Below are 19,640 nucleotides of genomic sequence, written 5' to 3'. Positions count from 1 at the left end.
AGTTTATTGAGAGTTTTTAGCATGAAGGACTGTTGAATTTTGTCAAAGGCCTTTTCTGCATCTATTGATATAATCATGTGATTTATGTCATTGGATTTGTTTATGTGATGTATTACGTTTATTGATTTGTGTATGTTGAACCAGCCTTGCATCCCAGGGATGAAGCCAACTTGATTGTGGTGGATAAACTTTTTGATGTGCTGTTGGATTCGGTTTGCCAGTATTTTATTGAGGATTTTCACATCGATGTTCATTAGGGATATTGGCCTAAAATTCTCTTTTTTTGATGTGTCTCTACCAGGCTTTGGTATTAGGATGATGCTAGCCTCATAAAATGAGTTAGGGAGGTTTCCCTCTTTTTCTATTGATTGAAATAGTTTCAGAAGAAATGGTAGCAGCTCCTCTTTGTACCTCTGGTAGAATTCCTACCAGAATCCGTCTGGTCCTGGAATCTGTCTGGTCCAGGACTTTTTTTGGTTGGTAGGCTATTAATTATTGCCTCAATTTCAGAACCTGTTATTGCTGTATTCAGAGATTCAACTTCTTCCTGGTTTAGTCTTGGGAGGCTGTATGTGTCCTGGAATTTATCCATTTCTTCTAGATTTTCAAGTTTATTTGCATAGAGATGTGTATAGTATTCTCTGATGATAGTTTCTATTTCTGTGGGATCAGTGGTGATATCCCCTTTATCATTTTCTGTTGCATCTATTTGATTCTTCCCTCTTTTCTTCTTTATTAGTCTTGCTAGCAGTCTATCAATTTTGTTGATCTTTTCAAAAAACCAGCTGCTGGTTTGATTGATTTTTTTGAAGGATTCTTTGTGTCTCTATCTCCTTCATTTCTGCTCTGATCTTAGTTATTTCTTGCCTTCTGCTAGCTTTTGATTTGTTTGCTCTTGCTTCTCTAGTTCTTTTAATAGTGATGTTAGGATGTCGATTTTAGATCTTTCCTACTTTGTCTTGTGGGCATTTAGCAAAGACAATCCCAAGCAAAAAGAACAAAGCTGGAGGCAAAATGCTACCTGACTTCACATTATACTACAAGGCTACAGCAACCGAAACAGCATGGTATTAGTACCAAAACAGATATATGGACAAAGGAAACAGAGCAGAGGCCTCAGAAATAACACCACACATCTACAACCATCTGATCTTTGATAAACCTGACAAAAACAAGCAATAGGGAAGGAATTCCCTATTTAATAAATGGTGCTGGGAAAACTGTCTAGCCACCTGTAGAAAGCTGAAACTGGATCCCTTCCTTACACAGTATACAATAATTAACTCAAGGAAAATTAAAGACTTAAATGTAAGACCTAACACTGTAAAAACCCTAGAAGAAAACCTAGGCACTACCACTCAGGACATAGGCATGGGCAAGGACTTCATGTCTAAAATACCAAAAGCAATGGCAACAAAAGACAAAATTGACAAATGGGATCTAATTAAACTAAAGAGCTTCTGCACAGCAAAAGAAACTATAATCAGAGTGAACAGGCAACCTACAGAATGGGAGAAAATCTTTGCAATCTACCCATCTGACAAAGGGCTATTATCCAGAATCTACAATGAACTCCAACAAATTTACAAGAAAAAAGCAACCCCATCAAAAAGTGGGTGAAGGATATGAACAGACACTTCTCAAAAGAAGACATTCATGCAGCCAACAAACATGAAAAAATGCTCATCATCCATCACTGGTCATCAGAGAAATGCAAATCAAAACCACAATGAGATACCATCTCACACCAGTTAGAATGGTGATCATTAAAAAGTCAGGAAACAAAAGGTGCTGGAGAGGATGTGGAGAAATAGGAACACTTTTAAGCTGTTCGTGGGACTGTAAACTAGTTCAACCATTGTGGAAGACAGTGTGGCGATTCCTCAGGGATCTAGAACTAGAAATACCATTTGACCCAGCCATCCCATTACTGGGGATATACCCAAAGGATGATAAATCATGCTGCTATAAAGACACATGCACACGTATGTTTATTGCGGCACTATTCACAATAGCAAAGAATTGGAACCAACCCAAATGTCCATCAATGATAGACTGGATTAAGAAAATGTGGCACATATACACCATGGAATACTATGCAGCCATAAAAAATGATGAGTTCATGTCCTTTGTAGGGACATGGATGAAGCTGGAAACCATCATTCTCAGCAAACTATCACAAGGACAGAAAACCAAATACCGCATGTTCTCACTCATAGGTAGGAGCTGAACAATGAGAATACATGGACACAAGGCAGGGAACATCACACACTGGCGCCTGTCAGGGGGTGGGGGCTGGGGGAGGGATAGCATTAGGAGAAATACCTAATGTAAATGAGGAGTTGATAGGTGCAGCAAACCAACATGGCCCATGTATTCCTATGGAACAAACCTGCACATTGTGCACATGTACCCTAGAACTTAAAGTATAATTAAAAAAAAAAAAAACTCACCTTCTTTGGTACTTTCTAACAGCAAAGAATAACTTTCAGAATTAAAATATAATAATAATCTGCAATTTGCTGACTACCAAATCTAAAGTAATACCAACAAAATGTGATTCAGGGTTCCTTCCTTAAGACATTTTCATTTAGGATTATGCTATTCTAAAGTAGTTTACTTTTCCAGGGATTTCTGTGATTTATTTTTTAAATCTTTTTTATTTCTAATTTTTGTGGGTATATAATAGATACATCTATATATATATACACATATATCTAGATATAGATATATCTAGATATAATATATATAGATACAGAGATATATATATCTATATCTAATATATATAGATATATATATTATATATAGATATATATTAGATCTAGATATAATATATCTAGATATATAGATATATATGTATATAGATATATCTAGATATATAGATATATATGTATATAGATATATCTAGATATAATATATCTAGATATATAGATATATAGATATATATGTATATAGATATATCTAGATATAATATATCTAGATATATAGATATATATGTATATAGATATATGTAGATATATCTAGATATATAGATATATATGTATATAGATATATCTATATACGTATATAGATATATCTATAGATATATATATATAGATATATCTATATATGAGGTACATGAGATGTTTTGATACAGGCATACAATGTGCAATGAGCATATCATGGAGAATGGGCTAGCCATCACCTCAAGCATTTATCCTTTGAGTCACAAACAATTCAGTTACACTCTCTGAGTTATTTTAATATGTGAAACTAAGTTATTATTGACTATAGTCACCCTGTTGCACTATCAAATAATAGTTAATAGTTCATTATTTCTTTTTTCTTTTTTTTTTTTTTGAGATGGAGTCTCACTCTGTTGCCCAGGCTGGAGTGCAGTGGCATGATCTTGGCTCACTGCAACCTCTGCCTCCTAGGTTCAAGTGATTCTCCTGCCTCAGCCTCCTGAGTAGCTGGGATTACAGGGGCCCACCACCACGCCCAGCTAATTTTTGTATTTTTAGTAGAGACGGGGTTTTCCCATGTTGGCCAGGATGGTCTCGAACTCCTGACCTCAGGTGATCCACCCGGCTCAGCCTCCCAAAGTGCCAGGATTACAGGCATGAGCCACTGCACTCAGCCATTTATTCTTTCAATTTTTGTTTTTACCCATTAACCATCCACACCTCCCACTTCACCATCCCCTCACTCCCCTTCCTAGCCTCTGGTAATCATCCTTCTACTCTCTATGTCCATAAGTTCAACTGTTTTGATTTTTAGGTTCCACAAATAAGTGAGAATATGCAATGTTTGTCTTACTTGGCCTGGTTTATGACTTAAGATAATTATCTCCAGTTTCATCCATGTTGTTGCAAATGACTGAATCTCATTCTTTTTTATGGCCAAATAGCACTCCATTGTGTATATGTACCACATTTTCTGTATTCATTCATCCTTTGATGGACAGAGGTTGCTTCCAAATCTTAGCTATTGTAAACAGTGTTGCAACAAACATAGGAATGCAGCTACATCTTTGATAAATTGATTTTCTTTCTTTTGGATAGATAACCCACAGTCGGATTGCTGGATCAGATGGTAGTGCAATTTTTAGATTTTTGAGGAACCTCCAAACTGTTCTCCATATTGGTTGTACTAATTTACATTCCCACCAACAGTGTACAAGGGTTCCCTTTTCCCCACACCCTCACCAGCATTGATTATTTCCTGTCTTTTTGATATAAGTCATTTTAACTGGGGCGAGATGATACCTCACTGTAGTTTTGATTTATAGTTCTCTGATCATCAATGATGTTGAGCACCTTTTCATAAGCCTGTTTTCCATCTGTATGTTGTCTTTTCAGAAATGTCTATTCAACTCTTTTGCTCATTTTTTAATTAGATTATTAGATTTCTTCCCTAGTTGTTTGAGCTCTTTATATATTCTGGTTATTAAACCCTGGTCAGATGGGTAGTTTGCAGACATTTTCTCCCATTCTGTGGGTTGTCTCTTCACTTTGTTGATTGTATCCTTTGCTGTGCAGAAGGTTTTCACTTGATGTGATCCTGTTTGTCCATTTTTGCCTTCGTTGCCTGTGCTTGTGGGGTATTGGGATTTCTATGATTTAAATAGCGAGAGTTTAAATTACAATTAGACATTCTAGTTCATACACCAATTTCAGTCAATTAATGTTTGCATTAAATATATCTCAGAGGAATGATTTTTTTTAAAAAAAGTAATGCTTGGAAAATAAATTTATATCAACATTCAAGTTTTTAAAATATTGTCCCATGTTTTCCTTTCAATTTTTTTCTTATTTTTACTTCAATTTGCTTTGAGATATTTTGCTGTTTATTTTATAGTCTTACTATAAATGAAAATATTTGAAAGCCTATAAATTATGTGTCTCATGTGTACAGCTGAGTATAATGGTCAGAGTTGAATGGGTCAGTTAGATTTGATTCAGTTTGATGAACAAGAGCAAAGCCATAACTGTGTTATGCTGATAGTCACGGCAATAATTTCACAATATAGATGGTCATAGTATTCTCAATACAACAGTACTACTGTTTCAATAGAGCAAACTAATTTCATATTTCCTCGTTTTCACCCCTTTGGGGCCACAAAAAATGTATTTGAAATTTACTTGTTCCATTAACCACATACTCAACATTTAAAAGCTGCAAAATACTTCTGATTGTGACAAAAAACTCTCCTAAGAATTCCCTAGAAATCTCTTTATAATTCTTTCCTATTAACAAAAAGTAAAAAAAAAAAAAGATGAAGAATGCAGAAGGAAAGTGAATTCATATATGTATATATTTTAAGTCTTATAAATTCACAGCTGAAGGGGAATTCAATCTGTATTGCTATTGAAAATATATACAGTTTATTGCAATTTAAACGTTTTATTTCCTCACAGTTTGACATGATTAGAATGATTGAAGAAAATTTTTTAAACACTAGCGTAGCTTAAAAATGAGCAAACAAATAAAAAACTGAAAGGTTTGGATGTATTCACATCCTTGTCAGTCTGTTATAACGCATGTAATGGAATCAGCTTGGAGTCGGCACTCAAATTTTGTTATAAACAAAATAATAAAAAGAGAAAGACACACACACACATACACAGAGGAAGAGAGAGACAACAGAGAAGGAGAGAAAGGAAGATAAAAGGATGCAAAATGGATTTCAAGAACCCAACTTTTATTAAATATTTATTTTCCATTGTAATATCTCTTCATTTAATTTTTAAAGCCTAGCAAGTTATTTTAAGCAATTCTAACATAAAAATTACCCTTCCAACATTTTCCAAGTGTGCAGTACAATATTGTCAGCCACATCCACATGGTTGTGCAGTAGTGCTCAGAACCAACCCACCTCCACCCTTTCATGACGGAAACCCTATACCTTTAGAAGACTCCCCAGTAGCTCCTCCCCAAGTGCTGAAAACCCTCATTCTACTTTATGTTTCTTTGTCTTTGATTACTTTTGATACCTTATAAGTGGCATCACACAATATTTGTTTTTTTGTGGTTGGCTTATATCACTTTGCACAATGTCCTTAAGTTCATCCATGCTGTAGTATGACAGGGTTTCTTTCATTTTGAAGCTGTATAGTATTCTATTTTATGTATGTACCATATTTTCTTTATTCATTTATCTGTCAAGAGATGTTTAGGCTTCTTCCACCACTTGGTTATTGTGAGTAACTTTCTTCATGTCATTTTATATTCAATTGAAAACTGTCAATTGTTCCATCTCCAATCTGCCCACATTGTTATTTTGATTTCCTAATTTTAGTTTTTAGCAAAGATGTTGAAAATGTGCATCTGTGCTTACTTAACATTCACTATATATTTTTTCTTATTCAATGCAGGTATTTAGATAACAATAAGGTAGTCCTGTTCAAGGTGAAATAGCACTGTGAGGTGATAAATAATGGAATGCTGTCTGTCCTTGCAGGATGAGTCTGCTCCAGCTGACAAACAGTGTAAACCAGAGGCGACCCAGGCCACTTACTCAACATCAGCTGTTCCAGGCTCACAGGACGTGCTGTACATCAATGGAAATGGGACCTATAGTTACCATAGTTACAGAGGGCTAGGAGGGGGTCTGCTAAATCTGAATGATGCTTCCAGCAGTGGTGAGTATTTATCATAGATTGTGTTTTTTTTTTAATTATTATACTTTAAGTTTTAGGGTACATGTGCACATTGCGCAGGTTAGTTACATATGTATACATGTGCCATGCTGGTGCGCTGCACCCACTAACTCATCATCTAGCATTAGGGATATCTCCCAATGCTATCGCTCCCCCCTCCCTCCACCCCACAACAGTCCCCAGAGTGTGATATTCCCCTTCCTGTGTCCATGTGTTCTCATTGTTCAATTCCCACCTATGAATGAGAATATGCGGTGTTTGGTTTTTTGTTCTTGCGATAGTTTACTGAGAATGATGTTTTCCAATTTCATCCATGTCCCTACAAAGGACATGAACTCATCATTTTTTATGGCTGCATAGTATTCCATGGTGTATATGTGCCACATTTTCTTAATCCAGTCTATCATTGTTGGACATTTGGGTTGGTTCCAATTCTTTGCTATTGTGAACAGTGCCGCAATAAACATACGTGTGCATGTGTCTTTATAGCAGCATGATTTATAGTCCTTTGGGTATATACCCAGTAATGGGATTGCTGGGTCAAATGGTATTTCCAGTTCTAGATCCCTGAGGAATCGCCACACTGACTTCCACAATGGTTGAACTAGTTTACAGTCCCACCAACAGTGTAAAAGTGTTCCTATTTCTCCACATCCTCTCCAGCACCTGTTGTTTCCTGACTTTTTAATGATTGCCATTCTAACTGGTGTGAGATGGTATCTCATTGTGGTTGTGATTTGCATTTCTCTGATGGCCAGTGATGATGAGCATTTTTTCATGTGTTTTTTGGCTGCATAAATGTCTTCTTTTGAGAAGTGTCTGTTCATGTCCTTCACCCACTTTTTGGTGGGGTTGTTTGTTTTTTTCTTGTAAATTTGTTTGAGTTCATTGTAGATTCTGGATATTAGCCCTTTGTCAGATGAGTAGGTTGCAAAAATTTTCTCCCATTTTGTAGGCTGCCTGTTCACTCTGATGGTAGTTTCTTTTGCTGTGCAGAAGCTCTTTAGTTTAATTAGATCCCATTTGTCAACTTTGGCTTTTGTTGCCATTGCTTTTGGTGTTTTAGACATGAAGTCCTTGTCCATGCCTATGTCCTGAATGGTAATGCCTAGGTTTTCTTCTAGGGTTTTTATGGTTTTAGGTCTAACGTTTAAGTCTTTAATCCATCTTGAATTTATTTTTGTGTAAGGTGTAAGGAAGAGATCCAGTTTCAGCTTTCTACATATGGCTAGCCAGTTTTCCCAGCAACATTTATTAAATAGGGAATCCTTTCCCCATTGCTTGTTTTTCTCAGGTTTGTCAAAGATCAGATAGTTGTAGATATGCGGCTTTATTTCTGAGGGCTCTGTTCTGTTCCATTGATCTATATCTCTGTTTTGGTACCAGTACCATGCTGTTTTGGTTACTGTAGCCTTGTAGTATAGTTTGAAGTCAGGTAGCATGATGCCTCCAGCTTTGTTCTTTTGGCTTAGGATTGACCTGGCAATGCGGGCTCGTTTTTGGTTCCATATGAACTTTAAAGTAGTTTGTTCCAATTCTGTGAAGAAAGGCATTGGTAGCTTGATGGGGATGGCATTGAATCTGTAAATTACCTTGGGCAGTATGGCCATTTTCACGATATTGATTCTTCCTACCCATGAGCATGGAATGTTCTTCCATTTGTTTGTATCCTCTTTTATTTCCTTGAGCAGTGGTTTGTAGTTCTCCTTGAAGAGGTCCTTCACATCCACAGCCAATATCATACTGAATGGGCAAAAACTGGAAGCATTCCCTTTGAAAACTGGCACAAGACAGGGATGCCCTCTCTCACCACTCCTATTCAACATAGTGTTGGAAGTTCTGGCCAGGGCAATTAGGCAGGAGAAGGAAATAAAGGGTATTCAATTAGGAAAAGAGGAAGTCAAATTGTCCCTGTTTGCAGACGACATGATTGTATATCTAGAAAACCCCATTGTCTCAGCCCAAAATCTCCTTAAGCTGATAAGCAACTTCAGCAAAGTCTCAGGATACAAAATCAATGTACAAAAATCACAAGCATTCTTATACACCAGCAACAGACAAACAGAGAGCCAAATCATGAGTGAACTCCCATTCACAATTGCTTCAAAGAGAATAAAATACCTAGGAATCCAACTTACAAGGGATGTGAGATTGTGTTTTTTTGCTTTGTTTTGTTTTGTTTTCTTTTGGTGAGGGGAGGTGGTGGTAAATTTTTTAAACTTGAGAGAAGAAAATGGATAGACTGTGATGAGAATAGTCCGTGAGAATCTGCTATTAATAAAAACAAGGCCATTTAATACATAATGATTGTCTCTCTACATGGGTGTCTCCCGCTTTTGTTGCTGTCTCTGAAAGTGGCAGCACTATTATATAACTGAATGATTGCTGTTTATACTAAAAAAAAAAAACTCAACTAGAGAAATAGCAAATGCTTTTCTTCTAAATAGTGATCCATTCTGCCACCAATGCTGTAATGCACATTATTTCCGTGTTCAAAGAGGCTTTTGATTTGGAAAATTTGAGGGGCCAGGAATTTCTCCAACTTCATGAAACATACACAGTCATAACTAAGAACATACAAAATGAAACAACACATGGAAAGGACGCATGGGTCTCCAGAAGATAGTTTGTCAATGTCAATGGCATGCTCGGTCAGCAGTGTTGTACTGGATCAAGCCTGTACTGACTCTTGGTTGGTAAATTTTTAGGAATTTTCTGAACTTATATACCAGGTTGAAGTCTAAAGGAGTCTAAAGTCAGAAATTTAACTGTATAATATAAAGCTATGCATGTATGAGGAAAAAATACATGGATAGTGTTCTTATAATTGGGTGGTAAGAAAAACTTTCCTAACTATACTTTAAATCCAGGAGAAAAGTTTCATTACACACACACACACACACACACACACACACACACAGACCCCTTTTGCATGACAAAAACACCATAAAAAAGTAAAAAGATAACTGGAAAATGTATTAGCTAACTCTACCACAAAGAATTAGCAGGTCAATATATAAAGGTCTTCTATAAAGAAAAACTATACCCAAAATCATATGATAAAAATACTAGAAAAGAAACACATAATTCACAGAAAGACAGTGCAAATGTTCTTTAAATATTTATAAAGTTGTTCAACCTCAGTCACTCCTGATAAGAGAGATGCAATTTCTACCCATCGGTTTAGTAAAAATCCAAATGCTTAACAGAATTTTTTTAACAAGACTGTGGTTAAAAAGGTACTATCATGACTAGCTCAATGCAAAAAGTTAGAGTGGAATTTGACAGTATATATTAATAGAAAAAATGAATGTACATTTACCATTTGACCCAGCAATCTCTCTCTTAGGAACCTATTTCAAAGACCCACTGACAAAGTTACAGAAAGAGATATGCTCAAGGCTATTTAGTGCACTGTCATTTATAAATGCAAAAAAAAAAAGTTGCCAATAAAAGTGCCCAGCAATACATGGCTGACTGATTAAATTATAGCTCATCCAAACAAAAGAGTATAAATAGTAATAGGAACTATCTTTTTTATTTTTAGGACAGGGTTTCACTCTGTTGCCCAGGCTGGAGTGTAGTGGTGTGCCCTTGGCTCACTGCTACCTCTGCCTCCCAGGCTCAAGTGATCCTCCCATCTCAGCCTCCAGAGTAGTTGGTACTACAGGTGCATGCCTCCATGCTGGGCTAATTTATTTTTATTTTTATTTTTAGCAGAGACAAAGTTTTTACCATGTTGCCCAGGCTGGTCTTGAACTCCTGATCTCAAGTGATGTGCCCACCTTCGTCTCCCAAACTTCTGGGTTTACAGGTGTAAGCCACCATGCCCAGCCAGGAAATACCTTTATATAATATTATATAGTGATCTCCAGGTAGTGAAAAGTACTTATAGAATGCCAACATTCATGGAATAAGGATTTATACTATTGGATGCATAAACTATAACTTTTTAAAAAAAGTTTATGTAGATGTGGCAGTGGGGAGAAAACAGTATAAGGGGCAGGAATAAAAGCGAGAATATTCCTAATGTGTTTGGTTTTTACACTGTTTCATATATTTAACTTTGGAACTATATATATTTATGTAACTATTAAACTGTTTTTTTAAATTCTTCAAATTAAAAGAAAAGTGATGCAAATAAACTTCAATTGTTTAACGAGTTGTTGGCATAGCCTCACATAGAGAGGAACTCGTCCAAGTGATTCCAAAAATCATAATTTGACTCCATAAGTTTGAAGCCAGTGATTAAACCTTAAAGTATTTTCAGTAATCATATTATTATTTGGGGACTGTTGTCTATATATTGTGGTTAAAAGCAAATTGCCAATTATGTGGGTGTCAGTGAAAGCTAGCATTTTCAGCACGGGTCAAAGTAGACACAGATGTAAAATCAGTACATTTAAACAAAAACTCCGTAGTCTTGTATTTGAATTGGTAGTACCAGTAGGAACTTCCGATGTATTTTTTTGTTTTTTAAAAAACACAAAATATATCTCCTTTTCCCGGAAATGCTTGGAAACCATGGCCAACTTGAATTTAAAATTTTGAATTAGGCTGGGTGAGCTTATATTTTGGGAGAAATTACATTATTAGTCTGAGTTTATACTCTAGGAAATCACTTAGTTTACAGTGCTGGAAGTATGTTTCATATATAGCTAGATAGTTTTGGGGGCTCAATGCAAAATGAAAACATCAAGCCTCTTGTTTAAAACTTAAAAATTTAAGGCATTGACTGTAGAGAATTAACCTAAGCATGGAACTTTTCTAAGCACATGGTACTGTGGGACTACAAACACTTCATGACCCACTTTGCCCTTTTAATTTACTTAGTAAGCCAGAGGAAAGCATTGCTTTTTCATTAAAGGCAGAGAGCTACCAGTGGTAAGAAAGATAACGTATACAAATAAGGAAAAGAATAATACACAAGTGAGAACACTTTGAAAGAGTATTTTGAGAAGAAAAGAGAGCACTCTGGGGCAGCTACCAATCCTGGGTAAAAATTGATAACAAATCCAAAAGAAAGTTTTGTTATGCATTGTTAATGAACAGGGCTCCCAAAGTCCTTCCTGACTTTCAACCAATTCTCCATAGAGGAACCAAAATAATTTTTAAGAAAAGGCAAATCTGATCACGTCACTTCACCATCTAAAACCTTCTATGGGCTTTCATTGTTCTTAGGGAAAGGATGTGAGCCAGCTCTTCCAGCTTCAAGGTCTACTCACCTGAAGTTTTCTTTCACCTGCTTCTCCCCCACTCTCTCCTCATTCATTGAACACCCTTTTTTAAATCCAGAACTCCAAGTCTAGATGAAGTATAGATATACACTCTCATAGTATCCTCAATTTAACCTCTGAAGCATGTATGATAGCGCACACACACACACACACACACACACAATCACACAACATTGGTACCTATTCCTCAATTATATTTTTCAGTGGTGCCCAAAAGCCACATAGGAAATTTGGTATAAATCCCAGGTATGCAGGCATATAAGTGTTTAGAAAGCATGTTTTATAAATGCACAGTTTGGATATACATGCTGTAGTACTATGTTGAGGTCTATTTTTTCTGTATGTTTCTCCCCAAAAACTTTCCTATCATAAAATGACAGAGGCTAAAGGGACATGAGAAATCATTTGATAGCAACCACTTCATTGTGTAAAGACCACAAAGAAAGAAACAGGGCTGGAAATTTATGTGACTTGCTCAAGGTCATGTATAATGATTTTGGAGTTGTTTAGTTAATTCATGCCTTGGCTCTTTTTTTTTTTTTTTTTTTTTTAAGGCAAGGTCTCCCTGTGTTACCTAGGCTGGGGTGCAACTGCAATGCTTCCACCTCAGTCGTCTGAGTAGCTGGGACTATAAGTGCTCACTGCCACACCTGGCTAATTTTTAATTTGATTTTTTTAATTATTTTTTGAGACAGGATATCACTATGTTGCCCAAGCTGGTCTTGAACTCCTGGGCTCATGCAGTCTTCCTGCTTTGGTTCTTATATGATGAGATGATGATATCTCAAGGACACAGCAACCAATAACATCAAACACTTCAGGCTGTCTGTGTACACTTCAAATGAAACAAAAGTAACAGATTAATCAGTATGGCATGCAGAAAATTAAAAATGATGTGAATTTCTTTGAGCAATGACTTTGGGCTGAGTGTAGCTGAATTTAAATAAAAAACAGCAATAACAACAACAAAGATCAAAACACTAATCTTGGCAAACAAAAGCTTTAGTCTCAAACCAAAGAGAATTTGTCTAGTGTATATTTGAGAAAGGATTCTAGCAATGTAGTGGTAGCAAGGGAAGTGATGTTTCCCTTGTTACGTATCAACTCTAAATACCAGTTTCGTTTTCTTCACCCAAAAAATGTATACTACCTGTAACAATGATATTGTCTCCTGCTCTTTTACTTTTGTTTGTTTAGTTTTTGCTTGTTTTAATCACAGAAAGGCAGCTAGATTGATTGGGCCCACAATGTCCTTTATTTGTGTACTTTCTTCATAAATTCTGGGAATTCCAAATGTTCTGACTTTTTAAAATGGCATTATCATATCTATCATTTCTTCATCTTTAAGACATCAAAATAGTCATTCCCTGTAACAGTTTTGGAGCTCTGGAGAAAGAAACTACATACATATGCATAAATCTTGAGAGCTAAAAAGGACATAACAGAAGATTAGCATTATATTAGATGCCAGCCTCATAGCTGATGGATGACAACTCCAGTTAATCTCAGTTTGAGAATTCTTGAGTTTAGGATTTGTAGAGATCTGAAATGTGTGGAAGGGAGTAGTAACTTCTAAGAGATCAAGTAGAACTAACCTTACATATGATTTAATTTATAAAATAGGTGAAAACAATCAGAATTCAAGCCACTCTCTGGAGAAATTGTGAAGTATGATGCAGGTTGGCAATAGAATTAGGAGTGCAAAGATTGAAGGGAAAATGATGTTTCCAGAACCTTTAAAACAAATGTCATTAAAATAACACTATCCATGCAGATTATATCATGTTCAAGACAAATCTATAGGCAGAAGAATAAAAGAGCATACCTTAGCAGCATTTGAATTTGATTTAAATATTTTGGAGTTCTCATGTTCAAATCTTTGTAACTTTAAGAGAAGCGAAGTTGGATAAGGCAGAATCAATGACATCAAGTAAACAAAAAGAGATATATTCTTCCTCTTCTTGTCTATATGTCAAAATCCTTTAGGACTCTGATTAAATACTCCGTTATTCTACCTCATCATCCTTCCACTCTTTGGAAGATTGATCACTCCCCTGCATGTGTCTTTATTCTAATACCTATCTTATTGAATTGAGAGATACATTTTCAAGAAAATTTCCCATTATACATATGCATTCCTTGAAAGCAGAAACTTCATCTTGTTCACTGTTATATCCCTCTAAGTAAGGTCAGACATATAGCAAGTGCTCAATAATATTTGCTTAATAAGTGAATATTTAGAAAAAATAGAATGATATCAAAAGGAAAAAGGCTACAGAGATAATTATGTACCTTGGATGGCAGGAGGGAAGGGTTAATCTTAGATAAATCAAAGCAATTGGAGGCAAGGAGAATGATTAAACTGAACTTGGGGATTCTGTGGGTGAAAGAGGAAGGCTCCAGTTCATTCATCAGTTTATGGGTCTACAGTAGTTTTAGAGTTTTATAAACTCCTGTTTAATAGCAATAGAAAATCTTGCCCGATTGGAGACTTCATAGCAAGGAAATATTCTGTCTACCAATGATGCCAGGATGCCCTTCAAATCCATCATTAGCCAACCTCCATTTGTTTGGAGCTGGCAAGGGGCTGCACCCAACAATCCAAATTTTCAAGTTGGAGAATTATCAAAATGACAGCAGTTACAATCTGTATAAAGAATTTATTCAAATTATCCAACTGAAATGAGGAGCAAGCAAGCAGCCAATCCTCCTGTTATTATCACACCATTTACATAGGACTTTGGACTGCTTTCTTTCTATCAGGAAGTTCACATTGAGCTGTCTAAAGAGGGCAATTGTAGTTCACTGCAGTTATTCATTGGATCTCTTGAGTCTAAATTATATGCATAATGCATAAGTTAACTACTGATGTTTCTGCTCTACAAACTCCGTGGGGGGAGACTTTTCAATTTGTTTTTCAACTCTGTTATAAACTGGGCTGATATACAGACCAAAATCTATCAAGACCAAATTGTAGTAATAATGACCATAATCACTAACATTTGTATGGCAATTTCTAGTTTTCCCAACTCTTAACATTCATTAGCTTCCTTGCTCTTCATTAATATTTGGGGTTTTGTCTTTAATGATTCCTCAGCTCAGGTCCTTTAGTTATGAGCCTAAGGAAACTTGGCCATAAGATTCACCATCACACTAGAACTGGTTTACAGTGGTGTGACTGGCTGTGTGTGTTGATAGTGCCAGAAACCAGCATTCTGAAACATATTTTTCATCTGAAATGTTCAAAGGAGCATTTTTATTCATTCACTGCCTTCACTTCTTACCTCCCTTTTACTTTTCATTCCACGATAACCAGCTTCTCCCCACCATTTTGCTGAAACTGGCCTGGCTAAGTTTATAGTGACTCTACTTATTGCCAAACAAAAGATGGATTTTTGCTCTTTACTTGACTAGATTTCTTAAGCATATTTGAATCTTGATGATTAGAATGTTGAAATGTCCACCCTGTTGGCAACTATGCTTATTAGCCTCTTAGGGGATCTTCACTGTATCCAAATGAGTATGGGAATAATCAGTTGGAGTTAAGGATGTCTTCTTAAAGTATGTTCTCTTTTTCTCTTAATACCCTAAGGAGCACAATATTGGAAGAAGAAGAATGTTTCATATCAAACATTTTAGAGAAATATCTTGAAATACATAAATTCTTGAAATACAATTTCATGGTACCTTGTGCTTCTCAGATAATTTTTCTTTTGCTGCCTTTCTAGAATTTCTTTTGTACTCATGCCCCTTCATGCTTGGATTCTCTCAACATCCCACACTTTTCCCTTTAATCCTTGTGTTCTGCATAATGACCAAGATAGAACTCATAGCTCTTACAATTTCAACTAGAAAATACTCCCAAATGTGCATAACAACCCCAATCTTTCCCCTAAGTTTCAGATTTTGTATCCAGTTCTCTACCATGATCTAGACATCCAGAGAAATCTAATATTTGATTTAACAAAATGAATTCTTCATCCCCGTGCATACTATTACCTGTCTCTGGGGTTATCTCATGCAGAGATACCCTCCCTTGCATCTGACTCATATCAGCTATTATGTTCCCTAAGATACCGTTTCTGTTTACCTCACTAATTTTCTGGCTAAATTTTCTTCCAATATGTTCCCATGATATTCTAAGCGTATTTCTTATTATTTTACCTGTCCATTATGTGCTGCTTTCTATAGACTATGCACAAGGGCAGGCAAGGTGACATTTTTAAAACTGTCTTACTACCAAGTGTTAGTAGGTAACTACCTTATATGAGTGTTCAATAAATATTAAATGGATAGATGAATGACTGAGTGAAAGAAATTGCTTCAATAAAATATTATGCCTCTTAAGGGATCTTGACTAAATCCAGTTGACCATGGAGATAATCACTTGAAGTTAAGGATGTCTTCTTAAAGTTTGTTCTCTTTTTCTCTTAATATCCTGAAGAGCACAACATTGGAAGAAGGGAAATGTTTCATATCAAACGTTTTAGAGAAATATCTTGAAATACATAAATTCTGCTTTGAAATCTATTAAGCTTAAACCCCTAGTTCAGGAAAGACATGTTTACCATAATTAACCAGGGTCATAGGAAAATGTGCTTTTCTTCTTTAGCTTACACTCTTAATAGCTTGTTCTGGCTCACTAACCATATGCAAAGATGTAGTGCAGATGTGTGGGGAGGGAACCATTGTCATCCTGCTCCAGGAGACCAGCTGGATGTTTCTTTTGTGTGAAAAACACATAAAGTCTATTATGTAAAACTTTGTAGATAATTTTATAGAGTATAGCCTAAAAGTAATTCACAGAAGCTAAGCAATCCCCCACGGTGAATTTGTATGACCTTTACACAATTGGAAGATCTGCGTGGTAGTAACATATTATGTGAAGAAAAGTGACTGTGTGATCTAATTGAAGTAAACGTAACTGGAATTATGCAGTTATTATATATCCAAGGAGGTCCAATGAAACCTGAGTGAGTTGTCAAAGCACATTCTGCAGCACACAGTGAAACTTTGGTTATAAAAGAAACAATGTGTTATATTTAGGAATTTTTTCTGCCAGTGTGCAGCTTGCTGAAGCTCTCCCATCTGTTTCCTTGATGACCTGACTTAAAGTATTTTCCTATTTTAAATACTAATTTGTATCCATATTTTGATAGTTTTCTCTTTCTTTCAAATATAATTTTATGTAGGCCTGTGCCATCTAACATTATAGCCACTATCCATATGTGGCTATTGAAATTAAACAAAATTCATAATTTAGTTCCTCCACCGGGATCTATTTCAAGTTTTCAATAGGCAAAATAGTGAGAGCCTACTGATTTAACAACACAAAGAAACATTCCCATCATCACAGAAGTTTCAGTTGGACAGTACTGATTCCAAACTCAACTCTTCTCACCTTATTCACATTATTGCACTGGCCTTTGGGTCATTTTGTCATTGCAGAATACCTTTTCTATGTCTATTCCATCAGGTTCTTTGTATTTAATCATTTATCATATATCATTCACTCCTCAATGAGATAAATGGGGTCAATGAACAACCTTATAGAAACTTAATGCTGATTCTTAAATAGTAATGTTTTTAGTTCAAACTGCCTGGCTTTTAAATAACATCCGGTCATGTTAAGGTTCTGAGAAGAACTAATCCCAGTGTGAGTTATAATGTAGGCATTGAAAACCACTTTGGCATAGGCTAGGATTACTTAAAAACTAGAAACAAAACAAATTTTAAAAGAATTTAATTGTGACAGAATTTGAAACTGTGTAATGTTTAAGGAAAGCAAGCTTAAACTCAAGGTATTTGAAATGTGACCACATTTTTGACACTGAGCTTATTCTTTGTTTCCAGATTTCCCACAAATAGTATGATAATGACCTATAATTTAATTGATATTGTGAATTATTTATAAAGATATATATTGAGATACATAGATTCAGAGAGATGATTCTTATTTGTAAATTTTGATGATTTACAATTATGTTAATCATTTGCTGAAAAATTGAAAGTAAAATTGTGTGAAAAATTATCTGCGAATATAATTAAGCAGCTTTCAGTTTATCTGGCTGAGCCCTCAAATCTTTCACTGGTTTACTGCAGGGCAGAAAGCCTCCAAGAAAGGCCCTGAAAAGGGAGGTGAGTGACCCTGTGTGTTCCCTGAACTATCCAGCACTTGTAATTGGTTTTATAGTTCAACATTGATCAGGCTTTTCTGGCAGCAGCTTCCTAAAAGCCTGTTCTCTAACTGTACAGTAAAATGGATATTTATATACTCTTAAGAGCCTCTTGGGAATTTTGTGGTGTGCCTACTCACTGAAGGGAAGGAATGAAAAGTATCCTGGGACCTTCCTTCTTGAGTCTGCTAGTAAACTGTTTAGGGTCTTTCCAGGTGACATGGGCTCATTACGGTTGGCTTGGGTTGTTTTCTTTAAACAGCCTCCTTTGAACTTTGACACATCCTCTGGGGAGCTATCTGAACAAACCAGTTAAATATCACTGGTCTCACCAGCCCTCTGCCACTTAGGAAGGGGTTCTCCTGGGGATCTCAGAATGTCCTGCTTTTTCAGGAAGTCAGAAATCTCACTCTTTATATGGACATTGAGCCAGCCATTGTCCACATTACCCTTTCCTGGGCTCGGGTACTGATGGAATTTCCAGAAATAGGAACCAAGCTTGTTTGCATTTGCCTACCTCCACCAAAGAGCTTGGGTCTGTCTACTTGAATCATTCCAAGAGTGTAGTCATGCTAAATGTGTCTTCGTTTTTCCCTCTTCATAAACTTTTCAACCTTTGAGCATGATGACAATTATTATGCTAACATCTTCTTTTGTGATTTCAAGGCACAAGTTAATTTTTAAATGTCATTTGGCTCTTAACTCACTTAAAAATGTTTTTTCTGTAAACCCTTTTTTCATCCACGAACAATTGCTAGAACTAGTGGAAGTAGATACATTTGAATGTGAGTCCACACAGTGCAAGTTTTGCCTCCTGAGTTGTTGCTTGGTCCACTCACTAAAATTCAGAATTAAAACTGATTACAAAATTAAATGTGTGATTGACGAACATTCTGGCCAATATCTAAATGGCCACGGAGGGAAACAAATTATTTCTTATAATTTAAATCCATTAGGAAATATAATCCTCTTGTGTGTTCTGAATGGATCTAAAAGTAGCTTGTACAGTCTTCTGAATTTAGGATTTTTTTTGTTGGTGCCTATTTCAGGTGATATAGGTTATTATGTCTTTTGTGTTATTTGGGACAATATTACAAGAATTTTTTTTTTACATTTTATTCCTGAAAGCATATTTATGAGCACAGTTTATCCATAATTGTGAAGGAGGTCATACTATGTTTATTTTCATTGTGTTTTTTCAAATCAGACATATCTTTCGTACATTTATAATATACTCAGCTCTCCATGTTTACATCCTTTAAAAGCCATTCTTCATGCACCACTCTGTCCATCTGTGGTCTGCTCCCATGATTTCTTCTGTTTCTTGTAAAATATTAATTGGTTTTTTTCAGGAATATAATATATCAGCATTAACTATGCCATACAGTAGATTTCTTGAACTTACTCCTCTAATCTAACTGTAAACTTGCACTCTTTTGCCAACATCTCCACAATATTCCCTACTCCCTATTCACCCCAGCCTCTGGCAACCACCATTCCACTCTCTACTATGTGAACAAATTCTTTGGATTCCACATATGAGTGAGATCATGCAGCATCTGTCTTTTTGTTCCTGGTTTATTTCA

The 19,640-nt window shown here is 35.8% G+C and overlaps 1 protein-coding gene across 30 annotated transcripts in view; it reads left to right on the top strand.

The window, feature by feature from the left end:
• NOL4 (nucleolar protein 4) overlaps positions 1 to 19,640 on the top strand; it is a 373,814-nt gene that overhangs the window by 335,047 nt on the left and 19,127 nt on the right. For 29 of the 30 annotated variants that reach the window (XM_047437902.1, XM_047437901.1, NM_001384470.1 and 26 more), the window contains one exon: positions 6,443 to 6,623. The exons of the other annotated variant lie outside the window; for it this stretch is intronic. In XM_047437902.1, the coding sequence (XP_047293858.1) occupies positions 6,443 to 6,623 (181 nt within the window). The remainder of the gene's footprint in view (positions 1 to 6,442; positions 6,624 to 19,640) is intronic. 30 annotated transcript variants of the gene reach the window in all.

This window comes from Homo sapiens, chromosome 18 (assembly GCF_000001405.40).
Source record: "Homo sapiens chromosome 18, GRCh38.p14 Primary Assembly".
Lineage (NCBI taxonomy): Eukaryota > Metazoa > Chordata > Mammalia > Primates > Hominidae > Homo > Homo sapiens.
The sequence above is the reverse complement of the archived record's forward strand: the minus strand, read 5'-3'. Positions and strand labels throughout refer to the sequence as shown.